The sequence below is a fragment of the Homo sapiens genome, chromosome 12 (genome assembly GCF_000001405.40).
Source record: "Homo sapiens chromosome 12, GRCh38.p14 Primary Assembly".
Taxonomy (NCBI): Eukaryota; Metazoa; Chordata; class Mammalia; order Primates; family Hominidae; genus Homo; species Homo sapiens.
This window is the reverse complement of record NC_000012.12, coordinates 29,788,340-29,809,570: the sequence shown is the minus strand read 5'-3', so window position 1 is coordinate 29,809,570 and position 21,231 is coordinate 29,788,340. Positions and strand designations below refer to the sequence as shown.

Sequence of the window (21,231 nt, the reverse complement as noted above, 5' to 3'; positions counted from 1 at the left end):
CTTTCAAAATTCAATTTGAATTAATTACAGACAATATATCATTCATTCATAAAATATAAAATTAAACCATCTGCAAACCTGATGTTTTTATAGGTCAAAATTGGCTGAATATCTGTAATTTTTCATTAGTTCAGCCAAATAATAGTTTTTAAAACTCAGTTTATTGAGATATGTTACATACTATAAAATGTACTCATTTTAAGAATACAGTTCAAGGAAAAATGGACACGTTTGTGTAACTCCCACCACGATCAAGATATAAAACATTTCACCACCCAAAAAATGTGCTTGGGTCCCTTTCCAGTGAGCTTTTACTTCCCCTCCCTTGCTCTAGGCAATCACTGATTTATTTTTCAATCATTATAAACTAATTTGTCATTGTTATAATTCACAAATTGAATAATAAAGTATGTACTTTGGGTGTTTAGCTCCTTTTATTCAGAATAATATGTTTGACATTCATCCACATTGTTTTATTCATCAGTATTTTAGCATTTCATTCTTTTATTAATTGCTGAGTGGTATTGAATTGTAGGAATATGCCACAATTTTTTTTACCCACTAACTTATTGATAGTCCTCTGGCTGCTTTTAACTTTGGTCTGTTACAAAGCTGCTTGTGTACAACCTTTGTGTAAATATGGATTTTCACGTCCGTTGGGTAAATACCTAGGAGTGGAATTGCTGGGTCATATTTAACTTCTTAAGAAACTGTCAAACTATTTTTCAAAGTGTACCATTTCACCTTCCTATCAGTAATGTATGAGAATTACATGTGCTCTATATTCTCTGCCACGTTCGATAAAAACACTTTTAAATTTTAACCCTTCTCATGAGTGTATTGTGGCATCTCACTGTGGTTTTAATTTGTATTTTCTGATAATTCCAGAATGTTCAGTACCTTTTGATGTGTTTACTGGCCATTCACCAGCCTTCTTTTGTAAAGATTTTGAGCACTTTTTCTAACTCCTAATTAAATTGCTTGTGTTATTATTATAACTTCTTTATATATTTCATAAAGGAGTACTTGGACAATATATAGATTGAAATGTTTTCCTCCAATCTGTAACTGGTCTTTCCCCCTTTTTAAATGGTGTCTTCCAAACAACAGGAGTTCCTAATGTTGATAGAGTCTAATATATCAATTTTTCCTTTTAGGATTCATGCTTTTTTATGTTCAAAAAAATATTTGCAGAGCACAAGTTCACAAAAATATTCTCCTTAGTTTTCTTCTAGATTTACATGGTTTTTGCTTTATTTTTAGGTCTATGATTCATTTGAATTTTTTTTTGTTATGGTATAAAGTAAAGGTTGAGGTCCATTTTTATTCCATATAGATATCAAGTTATTCTAGCATCATTTGGTGAAAAGACTATCCTTTTCCATTAAATAACTTTTGGCTTGTTTGTTAAAGATCAATGAGCCATATATTTGTGGGTCTATTTCTGGACCTTTTTTATTTTGTTCCATTGATTTATAAGTTTATCATTAAGCCAATATCACACTGTATTTTAATAACTGTTGCTCTATGCTGAGTCTTGAATTCAGATAGTAGAATTCCTACAACTTTGTTTATTGTTTTCAAAATTGTTTGATTTCTCTAGGTTATTTATTTATATTTCTATATAAATTTCACAGTGAGTTTGTCAAATCCTACTCTCTCTCCCAAAAATAGAAAGCCTTCCAGTAGTTTAACTGGAGTTATATTGAACCTATTGGTCAATTCGTGAAGAACTAACATCTTAGCAGTATTGAATTTACCAGTCCATGAAAATGATATATGTCTCCCTAAAGGGAGGTATTTAATGTCTCTCAGTGATGTTTTCTGCTTTTTTGTTTTTTTAAGGGGGCAGAGGTTGTTTGTTAGATCTGGAATTTACAATTATGCCTTACTTAAAAACAGGGATATGTTCTGAGAAATGCATTGTTAGGAAATTTTGTTGTTGTGTCAATATCATAGAGTGTATCTACACAAACCCAAAGAATGTAGCCCAATACACACCTAAGTTATATGGTATAGTCTATTGGTTCTAGGCTACAAACCCATACAGTATGTTACTGTACTGAACACTGTAGGCCATTGTAACACAATAGTAACTATTTGTGTATCTAAATGTAGAAACATATCTAAACATAGAAAAGGTACAGTAAAAATACAGTATAAAAGAAAAAAATGGAACACCTGCCTAGGGCACTTACCATGAATAGAGCTTGCAGGACTGAAAGTTGATCTGGGTGAGTCAGTGAGTGGTGAGTAAAGGTCAAGGCCTAGAACATTACAGCACATTACTGTAGACTTTATAAACATGGTACACTTAGGCTATACTAAATTTATTTTAAAAATATAGTTGACCCTTGAACAACAAAAGTTTGAACAGTCTTGGTCCACTTATATGTGATTTTTTTTCAATATATATATTTTAAAATGTTTTGGGGACTTGTGACAATTTGAAAAATCTCACAGATAAACTGCATAGCCTAGAAATATCAAAAAAAAATTTAAATGCCAGGCATGGTGGCTCACACTTGTAATCCCAGTGCTTTGGGAGACCGAGGCAGGTGGATCACGAGGTCAGGAGTTCGAGATCAGCCTGGCCAACATGATGAAACTCTGTCTGTACTAAAAATGCAAAAATTAGCCAGGTGGGGTGGTGGGTGGCTGTAATCCCAGCTACTCGGGAGGCTGAGGCAGGAGAATTGCTTGAACCCGGCAAGCGGAGTTGGCAGTGAGCCGAGATGGTGCCACTGAACTCCAGCCTGGGTGACAGAGCAAGACTCCATCTGGAGAAAAAATAATAATAAAAAATGTAAGTCATGAGTACATAGAATATATGTAGATGTTAATCTATTTTGTAATTTACTTCCATAAAATACATACAAATCTATTATAAAATGTTAAAATTTATCAAAACTTATATACACAAACACAGACTGTATATGGCGCCATTTGCAGTTGAGAGAAATGTAAAAAACGTAAAGATGCCATATTAAATCATAACAGTGGAAAGTTATCTGTAGCACATACTGTACTATTGTAATAACTTTCTAGCTATCTCCTGTTGCTATTGCAGTAAGCTCGAGTGTTGCAAGTATCCTCCTAAAAGTCTATGATGCTAATCATTTCTGCAGTTTGTCTTTCCAGTAAATTACATATTGCAGTAAAAACTGAGCTCTCAAAGTTCTAACATTTCTTTCATCGTAGCTAATGCAATACCATAAACTTTGAATAACACCATGGGACCCGTACAAAGTGCCACTAGTGATGCTGAAAGTGTTCCTAAGAAACAGAGAAAAGTTATGACATTACAAGAAAAAGTTGAATTGCTTCAAATGTACCATAGATCGAGGTCTGCAGCTGCAGTTGTCTGACAATTCAGAAAGACGATTCATTTTGTAAACAGATGATGTAAATTTATGGTATCAAAAAATATAGTACAGTACTATAAATGTATTTTCTCTTCCTCATGATTCCCTTAATAACAAAATGTTATGACTTTATTACAAGAATACGGTATATAATACATATAACATACAATACATATGTGTTCATCAATAAGGTTTCTGATCAGCAGTAGGCTCTTAGTTAAGTTTGGGGAGAATCAAAAGTTATATGAGAATTTTCAACTACTCGAGGGTCAACACCCCTAACCCTCTTATTCAAAGGTCAGCTGTAATTGTACTACAAGGTCACTGGGCAATAGGAATTTTTCAGCTCCATTATAATTGTATGGGACCACCATTCCATAAGCCATTTGTTTTTTGGCCAAAACATTGTTATGCAGAGAATGACTGTATTGTATTAAATTATCACTAAGTTCATGTTTTTTCATGTCATTGAAACTGTTACTTTCTTAATAAATTTTCCAAATTTTTTTGCTAGTAGTTAGAAGTAATATTTTAAAATTGGGTCTGTGATCTCGTTAAATTTTCTTATTATTTCTAGTAGCTTTTTCAAAGGTTCCTAAGGATTTTCTACATACAAGACCATGTAATCTGCTACTAAAGTCACTTTTACTTCATCCTTTCCATTGCATATTCGTGCTATTTCTTTTTCTTGCTGTATTGCACTGATTAGGACAATGTTAAATAGAAGTCATGAGAGACAGCATCCATGATTTGTGCCCAACCTTAGGAAATAAATAATCAATCATTAATCATTTGCTATGATGCTAATAGTAGTTTTTGTACAGGCACACTTTATTGCATTGAAGAAGTTCCTTTCTATTTCTAATTTACTTAAAAATGTTTCTCGAATGGGTGTTAAATTTTTTTTTCTGCATCTCTGACATAATCTTCTTTAGTGAATTGCATTAACTCAATTATTGATTACTATTTATTTATTTTTTTGAGATGGAGCCTCTCTCTGTCACGCAGGCTGGAGTGCAGTGGCGCGATTTTGGCTCACTGCAACCTCCGCCTCCCAGGTTCAAACAATTCTCCTGCCTCAACCTCCCAAATAGCTGGAATTACAGGTGTGTGCCACCACACCCTGCGAAGTTTTTGTATTTTTTGTAGAGATGGGGTTCCAACGTGTTAGCTAGCATGGTCTCAATCTCCTGACCTCGTGATCCACCCTGCCTCGGCCTCCCAAAGTGCTGGGATTACAGTCAATGATTGATTTCTAATGTTAAACCCACTTTGCTTCTGGAATAAACATTAGTTATTCAATTACAACCTCAGAATGTCTTGGGACTCAACTAACATTTCCTTATTCACGCAGCTCCTCGTCTGGTCTACATTGATCCTTGCCTCAAGAAATCATTCAAAATGAAGACTCACACTGTTTCTGCTATCTTGCCCTAAGAACTTTTCGGCCAAACCCATAAGCAAATTAAGCCCTAAATTAGTAGATAGAAATAAATAATAAAAATAAGAACAAAGTGAATGAGGATAGACTGAAATAAATTGAATATATTAAATTGAATTTATAATTTGAAACATTCCCATAAAGAAAATTCCAGGACCAGAGGATGTCACTAGTAAATTCCATCAAATATTTATGGAAGACATAATAACAATGCTGTGTAAAATCTTTCAGAAAATAGAAGAGGAAGGTTCACTTCTCAACTCTTCTCTAAGCCTAGAATTATACTATTAAGAAAATCAGACAAAGATATTCCATGGAAAGAAAACTGAAGACCAAAATCCCATATGCACACAGATGCAAAAAATTCCAAATTAAATATTTAAAAATAAATTTCATCCATATAAAAGAAAGTAAAATATGATCATGGTTTTTTTTAAGGAGAACTTATATTAATACCTTGGGGATGGAAGCAGAGCAGGAGGATGTGTCAGGATGGAGTGCTGGAGAGAATTCAGCTTATAACACAGGAAAGGGAAGAAGGTCTGGAGAGATTGAGAAATGAGAGAAGTTGACAGCTGGGTGGGAGGGAAGTATTCTAAGTAGGAAGAGTCAGAGTGGGACATAAGAAGTTGCCAGGTTTTAGGTGGAATCAGAAGGCCTTAAGTGTTTCCACATTTTTCATTAACATTGAAAACAGACTTTTTTCTTTTTTCTTTTTTTTCTTTTCTTTTTTTTTTTTTTTTTTTGAGACTGAGCTTTACTCTTATCGCCCAGGCTGGAGTGCAATGGCATGATCTTGGCTCACTGCAACCTCTGCCTCCTGGATTCAAGTGATTCTCCTGCCTCAGCCTCCTGAGTAGCTGAGATTACAGGTGCCTGCCCCCACATCCAGCTACTTTTTGTGTTTTTAGTAGAGACGGGGTTTCACCATGTTGGCCAGGCTGGTGTCGAACTCCTGACCTCAGGTGACCCACCCGCCTCAGCCTCCCAAAGTGCTGGGATTACTGGCACGAGCCACCACACCCGGCAGAAAAAAAGAATTTCTTTAATGAAGCTATTCTGATGTCAGAATTTTGGTTAGAATCTTCTTACTAAAAAAAGGACAAACTAGAAAAAGACAAACCCTTGAATATTTTATTTGAATTATCCTTGAATTACCTTGGAATTGACAGTGAATAAATTATCTTGCTCCTTTGCTCCAAGTTATCTTTAAGATGAACAATTTTTAATTGTATCAAAAATTCACCCAGTGGCCACTTACCTCCCAAATTATCTTTAGTGAAATTGTATCATTTGTTAAGATATGCACAAGAATTTAGGTTGTAATGATGTCATCAGGGAAACATGTCTGGCCTAGGAGGCATTAATATGGCAGGAGACAACCCCACCAGAATTAAAAGATCAGTCACATGTGTTATTTTTACACCTCTTGTCACAGGCCCCCAACCAGAATTCAGCCATCTCTGATGACAGACCTGACGATTTTCAGCCTCCATTTTGGAAATTTCGCCTCGCAAAACTCTCAGGAACACAAACACAAAAGGAAAAAAATAGAACATGTAAGGTTTCCAGATGGTGACCCAAAGCAAAATTTATCTATTGGGAGACATTGGCCTGACAAGATCTCAAAATTGTCAGTTGTCAGAGCCTACATTAAGAAATAGTGACTGGTGTTCACATCACTGATTTTAGATTGGGACCAAACTAAAGGGGCTTCTAAGAGTCTTCCCGTTCGTTTATCGTTGATGTAATGATGCTGCTATAAGTAATGTGCTCAGCACACCTATGTAAGCTGGGTTTTAGGGTTGGACTAAAGCAGAATTGGTAAACCTATGGCACTCCTTGTTGACACTACCCTTTTCCTTGCCTATGGCATGCATTGCTAATCAATCACAGTAACATTTTTTCCTGCTCTGCACAGTGTTCCTGGTAGCCCCTATCAATAGATCATATTGCTGCATTGAGCATTTACTATGTGTCAGACTCTCTTCTTAAGCACTTCATAGGAATTAACTCATGTAATCTACACATCAATGCTTTTTATAGATTATATAAACCTCACAAGGTCGCAGAGCTAGTAAAGGACAAGTCTAGGATTCAATCCCTTGCAGTCTGGCTAAAGCCCCACTGTGCTTTCAGACATGTGATCAGAGTTTGCTTGTGAGCTGTAACTATAGCTGATAGTCATCAGTGTGTTTTGCAAAATGGTTGTTAAAATATTGAAAAACTTATGTGTTGGCCGGGCGCGGTGGCTCACACCTGTAATCCCAGCACTTTGGGAGGCCGAGGCGGGCGGATCACGAGGTCAGGAGATCGAGACCATGGTGAAACCCCGTCTCTACTAAAAATACAAAAAATTAGCCGGGCGCAGTGGCGGGCGCCTGTAGTCCCAGCTACTCGGGAGGCTGAGGCAGGAGAATGGCGTGAACCCGGAAGGCGGAGCTTGCAGTGAGCGGAGATCGCGCCACAGCCCTCCCGCCTGGGCGACAGAATGAGACTCCGTCTCAAAAAAAAAAAGAACAGGATAACAGCGATTTTCAGGGAACAAGGGAGATAACCTTAAAGTCTGGCTGCCTGTGGGCCAGGCAGGACAGAGCCATATTTCTCTTATTACCGAAAATGGGTAAGAAAAATATCGCTGAAATCTTTCCCTGGTAAGGAATATTAATAATTAACAGCCCTGGAAAAAGAATGCGTTCCCGGGGGAGGGGGGCCTTTAAAATGGCCGCTCTGGGGGTGTCTGCCTTATGCAGTTGCAGATAAAGGATGAAACATGCCCCGGCCGCCTGCAGCGCCCCCAGGCTTGCTAGGATTAGGAAATTCCAGCCTGGTGAATTCTAGTCAGACCAGTTCTCTGCTCTTGAACCCTGTTAAGATGTTTATCAATGACAATGCCTGCACAGCGGAACATGGAAGCTCATTAGTGATTCTAGTTTTGCCCTGACCTTGGGATCCCGCCCTGACCTTCTGCCTTGTGATCTTTTGTTGCCCTTGAAGCATGTGATCTCTGTGACCCACACCCTATTCGTACACTCCCTCCCCTTTGAAAATTGCTAATAAAAACTTGCTGGTTTTGCAGCTCAGGGGCATCACGGAACCTGCTGACATGTGATGTCTCCCCCCGACACCCAGCTTTAAAATTTCTCTCTTTTGTATTCTTTCCCTTTATTTCTCAGACTGGCCAACACTTAGGGAAATAGAAAAGAACCTATGTTGAAATATCGGGGATGGGTTCCCCTGACACTTATGTAAAATATTGATGAAAAATAAACCTATACTGCCTTAGCCTGTCTCCTTCCTTGGGACCTCTTTTTCTAACTCAGCAGTGAAGGGTTAATGCCCAACATAGTTGGGGGCTTTCAGAAGCTAGCTCCAGAACCAAGGCTGGGCTCATTTCTGATTGGTCAGTGTTGATCGTTGCCCATGGCAAGAGTCATTAGACATGGAATTATGAATATCACCTCTGGATGTGACCCTTTTAGATCTTGGCTCCAGGAATATACAATATCAATATTATTTACATTGAATAAGGTTTGTGTTGTTTTACTGTTGTTTTGGTTGTCTTAGAGATAGGGTCTTGCTGTATTGTCTAGACTGGGGTGTAGTGGCATAATCATAGCTCACAGCAGCATCAAACTCCTGGGCTCAAGCCATCCTCCCACCTCAGCCTCTCAAGTAGCTGGGACTAAAGGCACATGCCACCATGGCCAGCTAATTTTGTTTATTTTCTGTACAGATGAGGTCTCACTATGTTGCCTAGGCTAGTCTCAAACTCGAACTCCTGAACTCAAGTAATCCTCCCACCTCAGCCTCCCAAAGTCCTGAGATTACAGGTGCGAGCCACAGTGCTTGGCCCTGGTTGATTTTTTTTTTTTTTTTTTTTGAGACAGAGTCTCACTGTCTCCCAGGCTGGAGTGCAGTGGCACGATCTCGGCTCACTGCAAGCTCCGCCTCCCGGGTTCACACCATTCTCCTGCCTCAGCCTCCTGAGTAGCTGGGACTACAGGTGCCTGCCACCACACCCAGCTAATTTTTTGTATTTTTAGTAGAGATGGGTTTTCACCATGTTAGCCAGGATGGTCTCAATCTCCTGACCTTGTGATCCACCTGCCTCGGCCTCCCAAAGTGCTGGGATTACAGGCATAAGCCACCCTTCCCGGCTGATTTTTGTATTTTTTATAGAGACAGGGTCTCACCATGTTCCCCAGCTGGTCTTAAACTACTGGACTCAAGCAATCCTTCTGCCTCTATATCAAATAGTCTTTTAAATAACATTAAATCACATTTCATACTATAATAAATAAAGCCATATTAAAATATGGAAAAATACTTTAATGAACTCTTTTTTCTAATGAACTATTACTGTGTTTTTCTGAACCCCTCTTTCATCATTAGCTGAGGCCAGTTTTCCATGGATGATATCATGCTGATATTTCTTTCCTATTCACTTCTCAAGAGTTATAACATTAGGTCTTTCTGCTTATTTTTTTTAAGACCAACTATCTGATTCCAAATTCCTCAGTGGGATGAAATCTCACTTTTAGGACTCTTATTTCTGGTGCAGACCTCCTTGTTTAGAACAATTTCCCCATCCGCCTCTGAGCTGTGTCTTGTTGCTTGCCAGAAGCCGCTGGGCATCTAAGATGTGTGAGCACTAGAGCCTCCTTGCACAGAGCTGGTGGGTCACTGAAGGCTGGCCTCACCACAGCCCCCAGAAGGTGAGTTTTGTCCTAGGGGTAAGTATTACAGTTCCCTCTGCTCTTGTTTATCTCCACAAACACCCAAATCTGCTTCTGTTCCAAGACTGTTTCATTCCAGACTGATTTTCTTTTGTATTTGAATGACCACCAGCATTTTCCCCCCTTGAACTCTGGCTGCTGATCCATTCTTTGTCTTAATTCCTCTATTCCTCTCTCTGCTGCAGTTCTCATCACTGACATAGCCAGGCCATTACTCTGTTTTTGCCAAGCCCTGTGGGGCAGAGCTGGCATTTTCTGAGCTAATTTCTTCTGAGATGTAATTGAGATACTGTAAAGCCTCCACAGAGTTCAGTTAAACTCCTCAAATGGAATCTGGGCAGACAGCTTGGTAAATTGAATTTTAGAAGAGCCAAGCTCATTTTGACATTAAAGAAACACTGTGATATGAAAAGGTAACAATTTAACAATAGTTAGCAAAACAAAAAAAAATTTCTATAAGGAATTGTTCTCTATTTACACCTGAAGAGTAAAGAGAAATGATCTTAAATTATAGCTATTCATTAGTGTTGGATAAAAGACAAACTTAGGAAAGAGAAACTTTAGAGTAAGAAATTGAGAACTGTCTTTAAGAAATTGAGAAGGTTTTAGAAGATTTGCAGTAGTTTTAGATGAGTCTATCTGGAGGAAGAGTACTGACCCGGGAGATGTCTTCCAAAAGGAAAACCAGTGTCAATGGTTCTAAATCAGAAGTCAGGATTATCATCACTCAGTAGAAGGAACAAAGTAGAAAGTAAACTCTATATCTAATGATAACCCTTACATCCTCCAGGGTGTGAATTTATTCCATTTCACCCAGAAATCTATAAAATTCTATAGATGTGTTACTTTATATTTTTGTAAGCTTGGAAGATAATTGTAATACACATTTTAATAGAAAAAGAGAAAAAATGAATTTTTTCTCTTGCCTCCAGGAAATTTGAAACATCCAACTTCTAGAAATCCTGTCTTCTATCCGTTTGTGAATACATACAAACATATATTCATTCCACCAGTGAACAAGTGTCTGATTTCTTACTGTGTGTAGACATTCTGGTCAGTTTGGGGGTAGACAGCAGAGTGTGGATCCTACTTTCGGTAGTGTAAGCACTGGGAAAGTGGTTTACAACAGTTGGCATTTATAAAGCAGAAAAATACTTGTGAGGTCATAGCTTTCCGACTGTAAGTCAGTTGTATTATTTCAAACTTTATATTTTCATTCTTTAAGGTGATTTGTATTCATTGTCTTTACTAAGTGTATTCATATTCTTTATTTCTACTGCCTTACATATTCCAGTGTAGGAAGAAAACATTAGAGAAAAGTATCACCTTTCCACTGTCTGTCTACTTAAAAACTTCATCATTGTTCTATTATGGGTTCGTTAAGAAGGAATTGGCTAGGAAAATGGAGTAGTTGCTAGTAATCGGCCCTTTTGGCTTAGTTGCCTCTCATTCTTTTTCAAAAACTTACGTGTGTGTGTGAAATGCCACACCTGTACGATGTGCATAAAACATAATTGTATAGCATGATGACAAATTCTACATTTTTTCCTTTTTCCAGACAATTCAATGATCTCAGAACACCTCAAGCCTACGTGTCTTCTTTTAATTTACATACTACTGTTGTCCTAAATCTTGCTCTTTTTCTAAAAATACTTCATCAAAAGATGATTTACATGCCATAAAATGCATCCTTTTAAAGTGTACAAGTCAATGGATTTTAGTGTTCTCATAGCATTGTGCAAATATCACCACAATCTAATTTTAAAACACTTCCATCACTCTGAAAAGAAATCCTTTGCTTTTTAACAGTCACCAGCCTCTCTCCTGCCTAGCCCCTGGGAACTGGTAATTTACTTTCTGTCACTACAGATTTGCAAGCAGGGAATTTCCCACTAGATTTAATCATATATTACCATATTTACCACTTACGTTGCATTCTATTACTTCCTCCATTGCTGTGCCTTTCATCACAAATCCTTTTCATTCTATTGGAAGACCACTTTTACAATTTCCTTTAGTACCGGTCTTCTGGTGATAAACTCTTTCCATTTTTTTTACTAAAAGTGTTTCTTTCACATTTGTTAAGATGGTCAAGATCCCTAGAAGCTGAGTTGCAATTGGTGGGAGTGGTGACCAACTTCTAATCCCTCTTCACTTCTAATGCCATTCTTCAGGGCCCCACTCCTATGTACAGGATGGATTACCAGGGTCCCCACACCCTGTGGGCCCTGCTCTCCTTGGAGACTCTCAGTGTTCTCTGCTTAGCCTCTCACTCCTCCCCAGCACAGAAGGGGCCCCAAATTCTGGGCTTGTCCTTTCTCTTTCCCTGGCCTGACACTTCTCTGTTCTTAATGATCTGATGTTATGAGGCAAATAGTGTTGTTGTTTAATCTGGTTTTCTATGGATCTTTAGAGGGAAGGTTAATTGGAATGACCTAGTCTCCCCATGACAGGGAGGAAAAGTCCCTCTCACTCGTTCTGTGCCCAGAACCTTCCTATTTTCTCCAGAGTTAGTACTACAAAGACAACATTTCACTATCACCTACCTTAGTGACTTACTACAAATGGAGCAAAAGAGATTTATCTTCAACCTTGCAACTTTAAAGGAAAAAAAAAAAACAGATTCCCTTGAAAATCCTAGAAAAAGGCTATCTTTGGAAAAATATGTCTTTATTACAGCTTCCTAGTTTTTTGCTAGTTCGTTTTCACCATACGCTCAGCTTCACAATTTTTTTTTAAATGTTAAGCAGATTGAAAAAGGGGATAAACATAAAATAGCTGGATAACTTTGCGAGTAACCGTGGGGAAGTATGAAAATTGTTTATGAAGTAATCATTAAACACTTAAGCCATGAGATGATGAAGATTAACGTTTTGGAAAGAAAAGTTATTAAAGTTTCTTTGAGAAGCAACTTGATCCTGGCAGCCAAATTAGAAACAACAGAGCAGCTGTGTGACTCATTGGCCAGAATTCCTTACGCATTCTCTGGCACCAGGAATTGAGAAGGTTTATAGTCTCAATCCTGCAACTGCAATGAGGCAATCGTGAGTAAAATAAACTGTGGTTGTCCAGAGTAAATGCAGGTTAGGCTGATAACCACATTCTCCTTCAAAGTAAATCAATAAATCAATCAGTAGTCAGGAATTGAAAAGCAGATATTTAATAGTCGCTTAGTAGTAGTTATTCCATGTTACTACAATGGCGAGAAATGGCAGTAGTGAGAAAATTGCTAAGGGAAAAAAGAGAGAAAAATCTTCATCATCACCATCACAATATTTTATCTTAGCTAACGTGTTGAGCACACCTTGCTATGGCACTCTTCAAAGCTCTTGACTTACCTCTTTTAATCTTCACAACTGCCCTCTGGGGTTTGTTCACAGTTTAGAAAACTGGAACCCAGTCTAGCAATGATTGGGAGTGAAAGGCCCAATTCTCTGTACATATCTTGACCAGAAACCATGTAAAGTAAAATAATTCATTCAGGAACTGGTGTGAATAGTTGGAGAATCAAAATTCTGCTAATGTTAGGAAACACAGATTCAATGAAATCTTCCTATCCATAAACAATTTATTTTCAATTTGGAGGCAAATATAACACACAAAACCCCTAATATTGGGTTTAGTGGTGATAAATTATAGCTAAAACTATATTAATTATCGGGGCCCTTATTTTTGCCTATATTTGTTTAAAATGGCTCTCAGGCATATTTTTCATGGATTTCTCACACTTTTAGGCATCAGTATTCATAGAAATACTCTAATATGGCCATATAAGCCTTGTATGGTAATTTTCAATTATCTGGTACTATATTTGCAGAATAGTAAAAATTCTTATAGAAACTTCCTTAAAAGAATCTCAAAGTACAAAAGATGTAATCTTCTTAGTCCTCCTTAAAAATTTATTGGTAATACATTTATTCAAATGGAAGTGATAAAATCTAAAGCTATGGAAACACTTTGTAAGTGCTAGACTTTCATTTATGTGGAAGATGCATTATTATGTTTTAGGACCCGTGCCTCCTTGCAGCCATCTTCCACTGGCTCAGGGACTGTAAAGGGGTTTCCACTCACAGGCCAACCTATTAACAGAGAGTGGCAGTCTGGGAGGCAGTGTTGAGAGCGGTTTTAAGGTTGCATCTGGAGTTAATGTGCAAAACTATCACAATTGGTTAGTCATGTTTTTTATGTGCACAGAGAGTAAGCGGGTTTATGGCATGTTGTATGGGTTTGCTATCACTGTCACTCCTGATAGCACCTTTTGGGAGCTGTTATCTGAATTTTGGGCCAAGTGTGAAGGGAACAGATTAACATTTGAATGTTTCCGTAAATACAAGTAGGTAGCAATGACAGCATTGTCAGGTAACTCCTTTTCTTAGAAGTAGGTGTAATGCTAATTGTCTGAAAAAAAAGTTGTCAGATGAATAAAATGGATTCCTAATCTCTTAAACTACATAATGGAGAAAGAATGAAATCACTGAGCAAATGTGAGATGAAAGAGACAGAGGATGTGAAAGAAACTGTGAAGCCAGAATCTGCTTCTACTTTGTCTTCTGTCTAACTGGAAAGACCACAATATTCAGCTCTTAGCCAAGATGTGCAAAAACTTAAAATTATTTAAAAACAACAATGGCTACAACAAAAACCTGGCTGCCTCATTTACAGTAACATGGCCAAAAAGAAAATCTAAAAGACATTTTAGAAGAATTTTTTTGTAAGGTACTGCGGAGCCTGAAAAGATTCATTCGTATTCCTTTACATTAACTCACACATGGAAAAATAGTCCAAGAAATAAGACTTAGCAGCACAGCTAGGAAAGATGGGAGATTGTAATTTCTCAAGGGAAATTATCTGTCTCTAGATATAATCTTTATTTCTTGGCAAAGAAAAACTAGCATGGTAGATTTCCCAACTTCTTTAATAACATAAGATGCAAGCCATGTCATTGACTTATGGCAAGTATTTTATTAGGTCCTGGGTGCCCTGAGCCCATTAATTTTGGCTGCCCCAAGGCCATTGTTTGCCAGGAGTATTTAAACTAGCTGGAGAGAATTATATGAATAGGATTGCCTGTCAAAACAGGCCTGGCTTCATGGGTGTGCAACTTTTGTAGTCATACAGAACCCTGTACTTAGATGAACTCAGTGTATAGAAGGACTTCACTTTTGGTTTGATGTGCCACTGTCACCATCCTGAAATTCTTAATAACTTTAGAACAAAGGGTCCTTCATTTTCATTTTACATTGGGCCCTACAATTTATGTAGCTAAACCTGCTAAGAATTGGGGTTGGGGCACAGTGGACCTCAACACCATCAGTGAGGTGGTGAATTCCTCAACAAAATCATTTTTGTAATTCAATACAATGCAAGTAAGTATGACCCATTAAATAGAACACATTAAAACAAAGTATTACTGTACAATATGGCAGAGAAAACACTTAATACTGATGACTGTAATAAATATTTTATATAGACTAACCAGAATTTTACATTTTCCTCATTATTTGTTCTCTTTTCTAAAACAGCCATCAGTATTGAGCTTCGTCATCTACAAACTAGCAATTACGTGTGAGTTCTTGATGTTAACTCCCCAGCAGTTCTCCTGCAGTGGCTCTAGGTTTTTGAGGGCTTGCTACTTACTTACATGTTTTTTGGTTTTATTTGTTTGCTCTTGGAGCCTTTTCTTGAAACTTTAAATAGAAGAAAAAAGAGAGCTTAACATAACATTTTTAAAGGTACCTATTGCTCTTCTTGTATTCTTCTTGAGGGGTGGCTGAGCGTGTGTAGCGTGCATGTGGTATGCATGTGGTAACATGTAGTATGCATGCTCATGAATGTTGCACACATGTTGCATGCATGCAGCATGCATGTTCTGGCAAGTCACGTGCATGATGTACAACCGTGGTATGCATATTGTCTGCATGCCTACTCATGAACACATACTGTATGCCTGTAGTATGCATGTTGTATGAATGTTGCACACACCTCACAGAAAGTGGCATGTACGTAGCATGTTGCATGCATGTTATGCGCAAGTAGTGTGCATGTTGAATGCATACTGAATGTGTGTAGCATGAATGCTGTATGCATGTAGCTTGCATGTAGAATAAATGTCCAATGCATGTGCCATGCATGTTGTAGTGTGTAGCATGCTTGTTGCAACTATAGTAAGCATGTAGCATACATGTAGACTGCATATTGTAGCATGCAATGCACATGTTGCAAGAATGTAGTACACATGTTGCACACATGATGCTTGCATAGTGTAGCATGTAGTGCACACGTTACAAGCATGTAGCTTACATGTGCCATGTAGTGCGCACATATCACGAATTCAGCAAACATGCTGTACACATGTCGCTACATGTATGTTGGGACATGCAGCACACATGTTTCAAAGTGCACATGTTGCAGTGTGTATTGTGCATGCTGCATGCATGTTTCACACATGTAGCTTGCATGTTGCAGTATGCAGCAAGCATGTTAAAAGCATGTAGGTTCCATGTGACATATAGTGCACATATTGCAATCATGTAGCTTGCCTGTTGTGGCATGCCACACCCATGTTCTCCTTGTGCAGCATGCAGGCCACACACATGCAGAAAACATGTTCTACACATGTGGCATGTGTGTCACATGCATGTAGCGTGCATGTTTTAGCAAGTAGTGTGCATGTTAAAAGCATGTAGTACACATGTGGCATGCAGCACACGTTACATCCATGCTACAAGAATGTATGCATGTAGCTTGCATGCTGTAGCATGTAGTGTGCAAGTTACAAAAATATAGCTTAGTTGTTGTGGCATGCAGTGTGCATTTATTATTAATGTGGCACATATGCCATGCGGATGTCGCAGCACATAATATGCATGCTGCACGCATGTTATACACATGTTACAGCGTGTAATGTCTGTGTTGCATGCATGCATGCTTCACACATGTTTCAACATGTGGCTTTCATGTAGTATGCAGTGCACATGTTACAAGCATATAGGTTGTATGTTGTGGCATGTTGCAGGCATGTGGCTCGCATGTTGTGGCATGTTGCGAGCATGCAGCTTGCATGTGGCGTGAAGTACACATGTACTACATGTGTAGCATGTAAGCTCAATGCATGTACAATACAGGCCCTACACATGTGGCAACGTGTGCCATGCATGTAGCTTACATGCTGCATCATGCAGTAAGCATGTTATAAGGCTGTAGTGTGCATGCTGCACGCATGTAGGTTGCATGTTGTAGCATGTACTGCACATTTCACAAAATCCAGTGGGCATGTTCTATGTGTGTAGCATGCATGCTCCAAAGAATGTAGAATGCATGTTCTAAGCATGCAGCAGGCATGTAGCTTGCATGTTGTAGCATGCAGCAAGCGTGTAGAATAGAGCTCTATGTTGTGCATATGTGACTTACATGTTGTGGCATGTGGTTTGCATGCTCTACACAGGCCACGACTTGTACCATACCCATTGTGCCCTACTTGCATCATGTAGTGTGCATGCTGCATGCATGCTTCACGCGTGTTGCAGCATGTTCTATGTGTGCTGTGAAAATGCGCACATGCTGCTCGCATGATGTATGCATGTAGCATGAATGTTTAACACATGCTGTACACACGTATGCATGTTCTATGCATCAGGATTGTATGCTGTACACATGTTCGCATGTTTTGCACATGTGGCTTGCTTGTATGCATGTGGCTTGCATGTTGTGCACATGTAGCATGCCAGTTCTATGCATGTAGTGTGTTGTACGCACGTTTTGCACCAGCAGGGATGTTGTGTGCATATTGTATCATGTAGTTTTCATGTTGCACACATGGGCATATATGCTTTACGCATGCAGTGGGCATACTGTTATGTTGTAAGCATGTACGTGTGTGGTATGCAGGCTGTGCACGTGTTGTTCACATGTAGCATGTTGTACATGTGTTCTGTGCATGTAGCAAATGTACACACGTTCTGTGCATGTATCATGCATGTTCTAAGCATGAGGTATGGGTGTTATGCCCATGTTATATGCATGCAGTATGCATTTTGCACGCATATTGTAGCATGTTTTTCACATGTAGGACTTATGTTTGACACATTTTGCATGCATGTACTATGGATGCTATATGCATGCAGCATTCATATAGTTGCATGCATGATGTATGCTGGTAACACACATGTATCGTGTGTAGTATACATGTAGCCTGCATGCAATATTCATGCATACAAGTTGTGCGCATGTTGTGTGCATGTTGAATATGTTGTGCGCATGTAGCATGAATGTTGCACATATGTTGTACACGTGTAGCATGCATGTTGTGCACATGTGGCATGCATGCATTAGGCATGTTGTGCGCATGTTTTGCATGTTGTGTTCATGTAGTATGCATGCTCTCTGTACGCATGTTGTGTGCATGCATTATTTATGTTATGCACATGTAGTTGCATGTTGTATGCATGCAGCAATCATGCTTTACGCATATAGCATGTATGTTGTGTGCATGCTGCACACTTGTACGGATGTAGTGTGAATGTGGTGCTCATGTAGCATGTATGTTGAAAGCATGTGCACATGTAGCATGCATGTAGCATGAATGCATGATGTATACACGTAGTGTGCATGTTTCATGTAGTATGCATGCAGCATGCATATATTTTGGGCGCATGTTGTGTGCATGTTGAATATATGTTTACACATGCATCCTGAATGTTTTACGAATGTAGACATGTAGTATGGATGTTGTTCCCATGTGCTATGCATGCATTAAGCATGTAGCATGCATGCTGTGTGCATGTAGCATGCATGTTGTACACGTGTTGTACACATGTCTGCATGCAGCATGCCTGTTTTGCGCATGTATGCATGTAGTGTGAATGTATATATGTAGCATGCATGTTGAGCACATGTTGTATGCATGTAGTATGGAATTTCTGCACATATAGCCTACGTGCATTATATATGATTGATGTATACATGTAGTGTGCATGTAACGTGTGTGGTATACATGTAGCATGTATGCGGTATGCATGCATACATGTTGTGCACATGTTGTATGCTTGTTGTATATATGTGCCATGTTGATTTGCTGCACTCATCAACTCATCACCTCGGTTTTAAGCAACACATGCATTAGGTATTTGTCCTAAAGCTATCTCTTCCCTTGCCCCCACCCCCTGACAGGCCCTGGTGTGTTATGTTCCCCTCCCTGTGTCCATGTGTTCTCATTGTTCAACTCCCACTTATGAGTGAGAACATGCGGTGTTTGGCTTTCTGTTCCTGTGTTAGTTTGCTGACATTGATGGTTTCCAGCTTCATCCATGTCCCTGAAAAAGACATGAACTCATTCTTTTTTATGACTGCATAGCATTCCATGGTGTATATGTGCCACATTTTCTATATCCAGTCTAACATTGATGAGCATTTGGGTTGGTTCCAAGTCTTTGTAAATAGTGCTACAATAAACATATTTATTTATTTATTGAGATGGAGTCTTGCTCTGTCACCCAGTCTGGATTGCAGTGGTGTGATCTCGGCTCACTGCAATCTCCACCTCCCAGGTTCAAGTAATTCTCCTGCCTTAGCCTTCTGAGTTGCAGCTGGGATTACAGGCATCCACCACCACTCCTGGCTAATTTTTCTATTTTTAGTACAGACAGGGTTTCTCCATGTTGGCCAGGCTGGTCTTGAACTCCTGACCATAGTGTTGGGATTATAGGCATGAGCCACCGCGCCCAGCTGGCAAAACCGATTTAATTACATATACGTGCATGAAAGTTCCCAAAGAATCGTTACTCAAGGAGGCAGTTAGAATTGAGGGCGTATATATCATCTTAGGCTAGACAAAGGAAAAGGGATTCACTTCTGGAGCATAGGGAGAATGTGAGGGCAGGGAGGTGAGGGCAGCATGGGGAGTGAGGAGAGGAAATGTATGGTAAATAAGGGTTGTTTAGTATGTTTGCTACACAGATAAGCATCCTGTCCAGTGCTAAGAGTTGTCTCTGGAGTAGTTCTTTTTCGAGCATGAGAGGAGATACCTTTAAAAATGGAAATTCACGGCCTGCTTTTAGACAGAAAATGGGGGCACCGAGAGTTAATTGCCTTCACCTCAAAACAATCCTGATGCCAAACTGGCATGTTTTGGGGAGACATATTCTGTTCCTCTTCCTACCTTTAGTCTCCAGTTCCCCAGAAGTCAGAACTAATGCTGTGTGGCTCAAGACTCCCACCATAAACCATAGCATTAGACTGTCCAGTGGCCCAAACTTCTAGGAAAACACACATGCCTATGAGGTAGGACATTCTAGGCAGGGGGCCTAGAGGTGATCTTCCAATTGCTGAGGCAAAGGTTGGACCTTTATTTCACTAAGGTTCTTTACTGCATAAATATAATGAGCACACCTCCCATTACTTATCACTCAAATTCAAAATTATAATACAAATAATGACCAAGCATATTTCATTTGATAATGTGCTGGAGTGAACTCACACTGATTCACAAAAATTAATTCTTACATTCTTAGGAATTTTGCAAGCCAGTTGTTAAACACAATTTTATACAAAATTAAATTATATAAACCATTTCTACAAATTAGATTTGAATGAGTATAATAAATGCTCAAAACTCATCATGTTTTAATTATTTCACCGTTAATATACTCTTGGTCTTATTTATACCTGCTGTATCTGTTTGGTAAAAATGCTGTAGAATAACGTTCTACTATATATCTCTTTCCATCTCTGTGTTCAGTGAGGTCACATTGGTTGCATGAAATCAAACATGGTGAAAATATTTTCACCATGGAAATCAGCAAATGCTATGAATCGGGATTTAAAATAAAATATTCTTTGAATTGGAGAAACATCTCTCTGCTCATTCAACTGTGACTAGAGCAGTTAGAGTATTTTATAGGCTATGACAACATTGGAATAAATGTCTGATACTTTATTTTGAAATATAAAGTACATCTAGAGCTCTTGATTCAAATGGAATGATTTTCTTAAAATATTTAACCCTTCGGGCCGGGTGCAGTGGCTCACGCTGGTAATCACAGCACTTTGGGAGGCCGAGGCGGGTGGATCACCTGAGGTCAGGAGTTCAAGACCAACATGGTGAAACCCCGTCTCTACTAAAATCAAAAATTAGCTGGGCGTGGTGGTGGGCGCCTGTAATCCCAGCTACTTGGGAAGCTGAGGCAGAAGAATCACTAGAACCTGGGAGGCGGAGGTTGCTGTGAGCTGAGATTGCGCCATTGCACTCCAGCCAGGGCGACAGAGCGAGACTTCATCTCACACACACACGCACACACACAAAGATTAACTCTTCATTCAAATGTCTTTGGTATAAGTCTGACTTTAATTTAAAATGTAAATTTATACAATGGCATTTTAGTGCTTCCTCTGACATTTCCTATAAGTTGTAGAGGTTGTATAAAACACTAAAAGTAGCTTTTTGATTTATGTATTCAAATGTAAAATAACATGTATGTTATTAAAATTACATTCAGATGAAAATAGTGTTCTTTTCTATTATACACAATAATTTCTAAGACTATGGATATTAGGTTTGCAATGTTGCAGCAGTTTTCAAAGCCAGAGATTCCACTCTTTGAAGAATTCTGGTAAATCCTTGATATTGATGTGGTTCAGGACATGCTGCCCCAAAATATGACACCTTTGACTTAGTGAATATTTTAAGCCA

General features: G+C 38.7%; 1 annotated feature.

Annotated features, from left to right (window-relative positions):
- Positions 13,624-14,125: an enhancer, noted in NCBI's record as "NANOG hESC enhancer chr12:29948379-29948880 (GRCh37/hg19 assembly coordinates)". NCBI's record gives its function as "activates a minimal SCP1, AML or CMV promoter by ChIP-STARR-seq in naive H9 embryonic stem cells {active_cell/tissue: H9 hESC(naive)}" and the evidence as "EXISTENCE:reporter gene assay evidence [ECO:0000049][PMID:30033119]".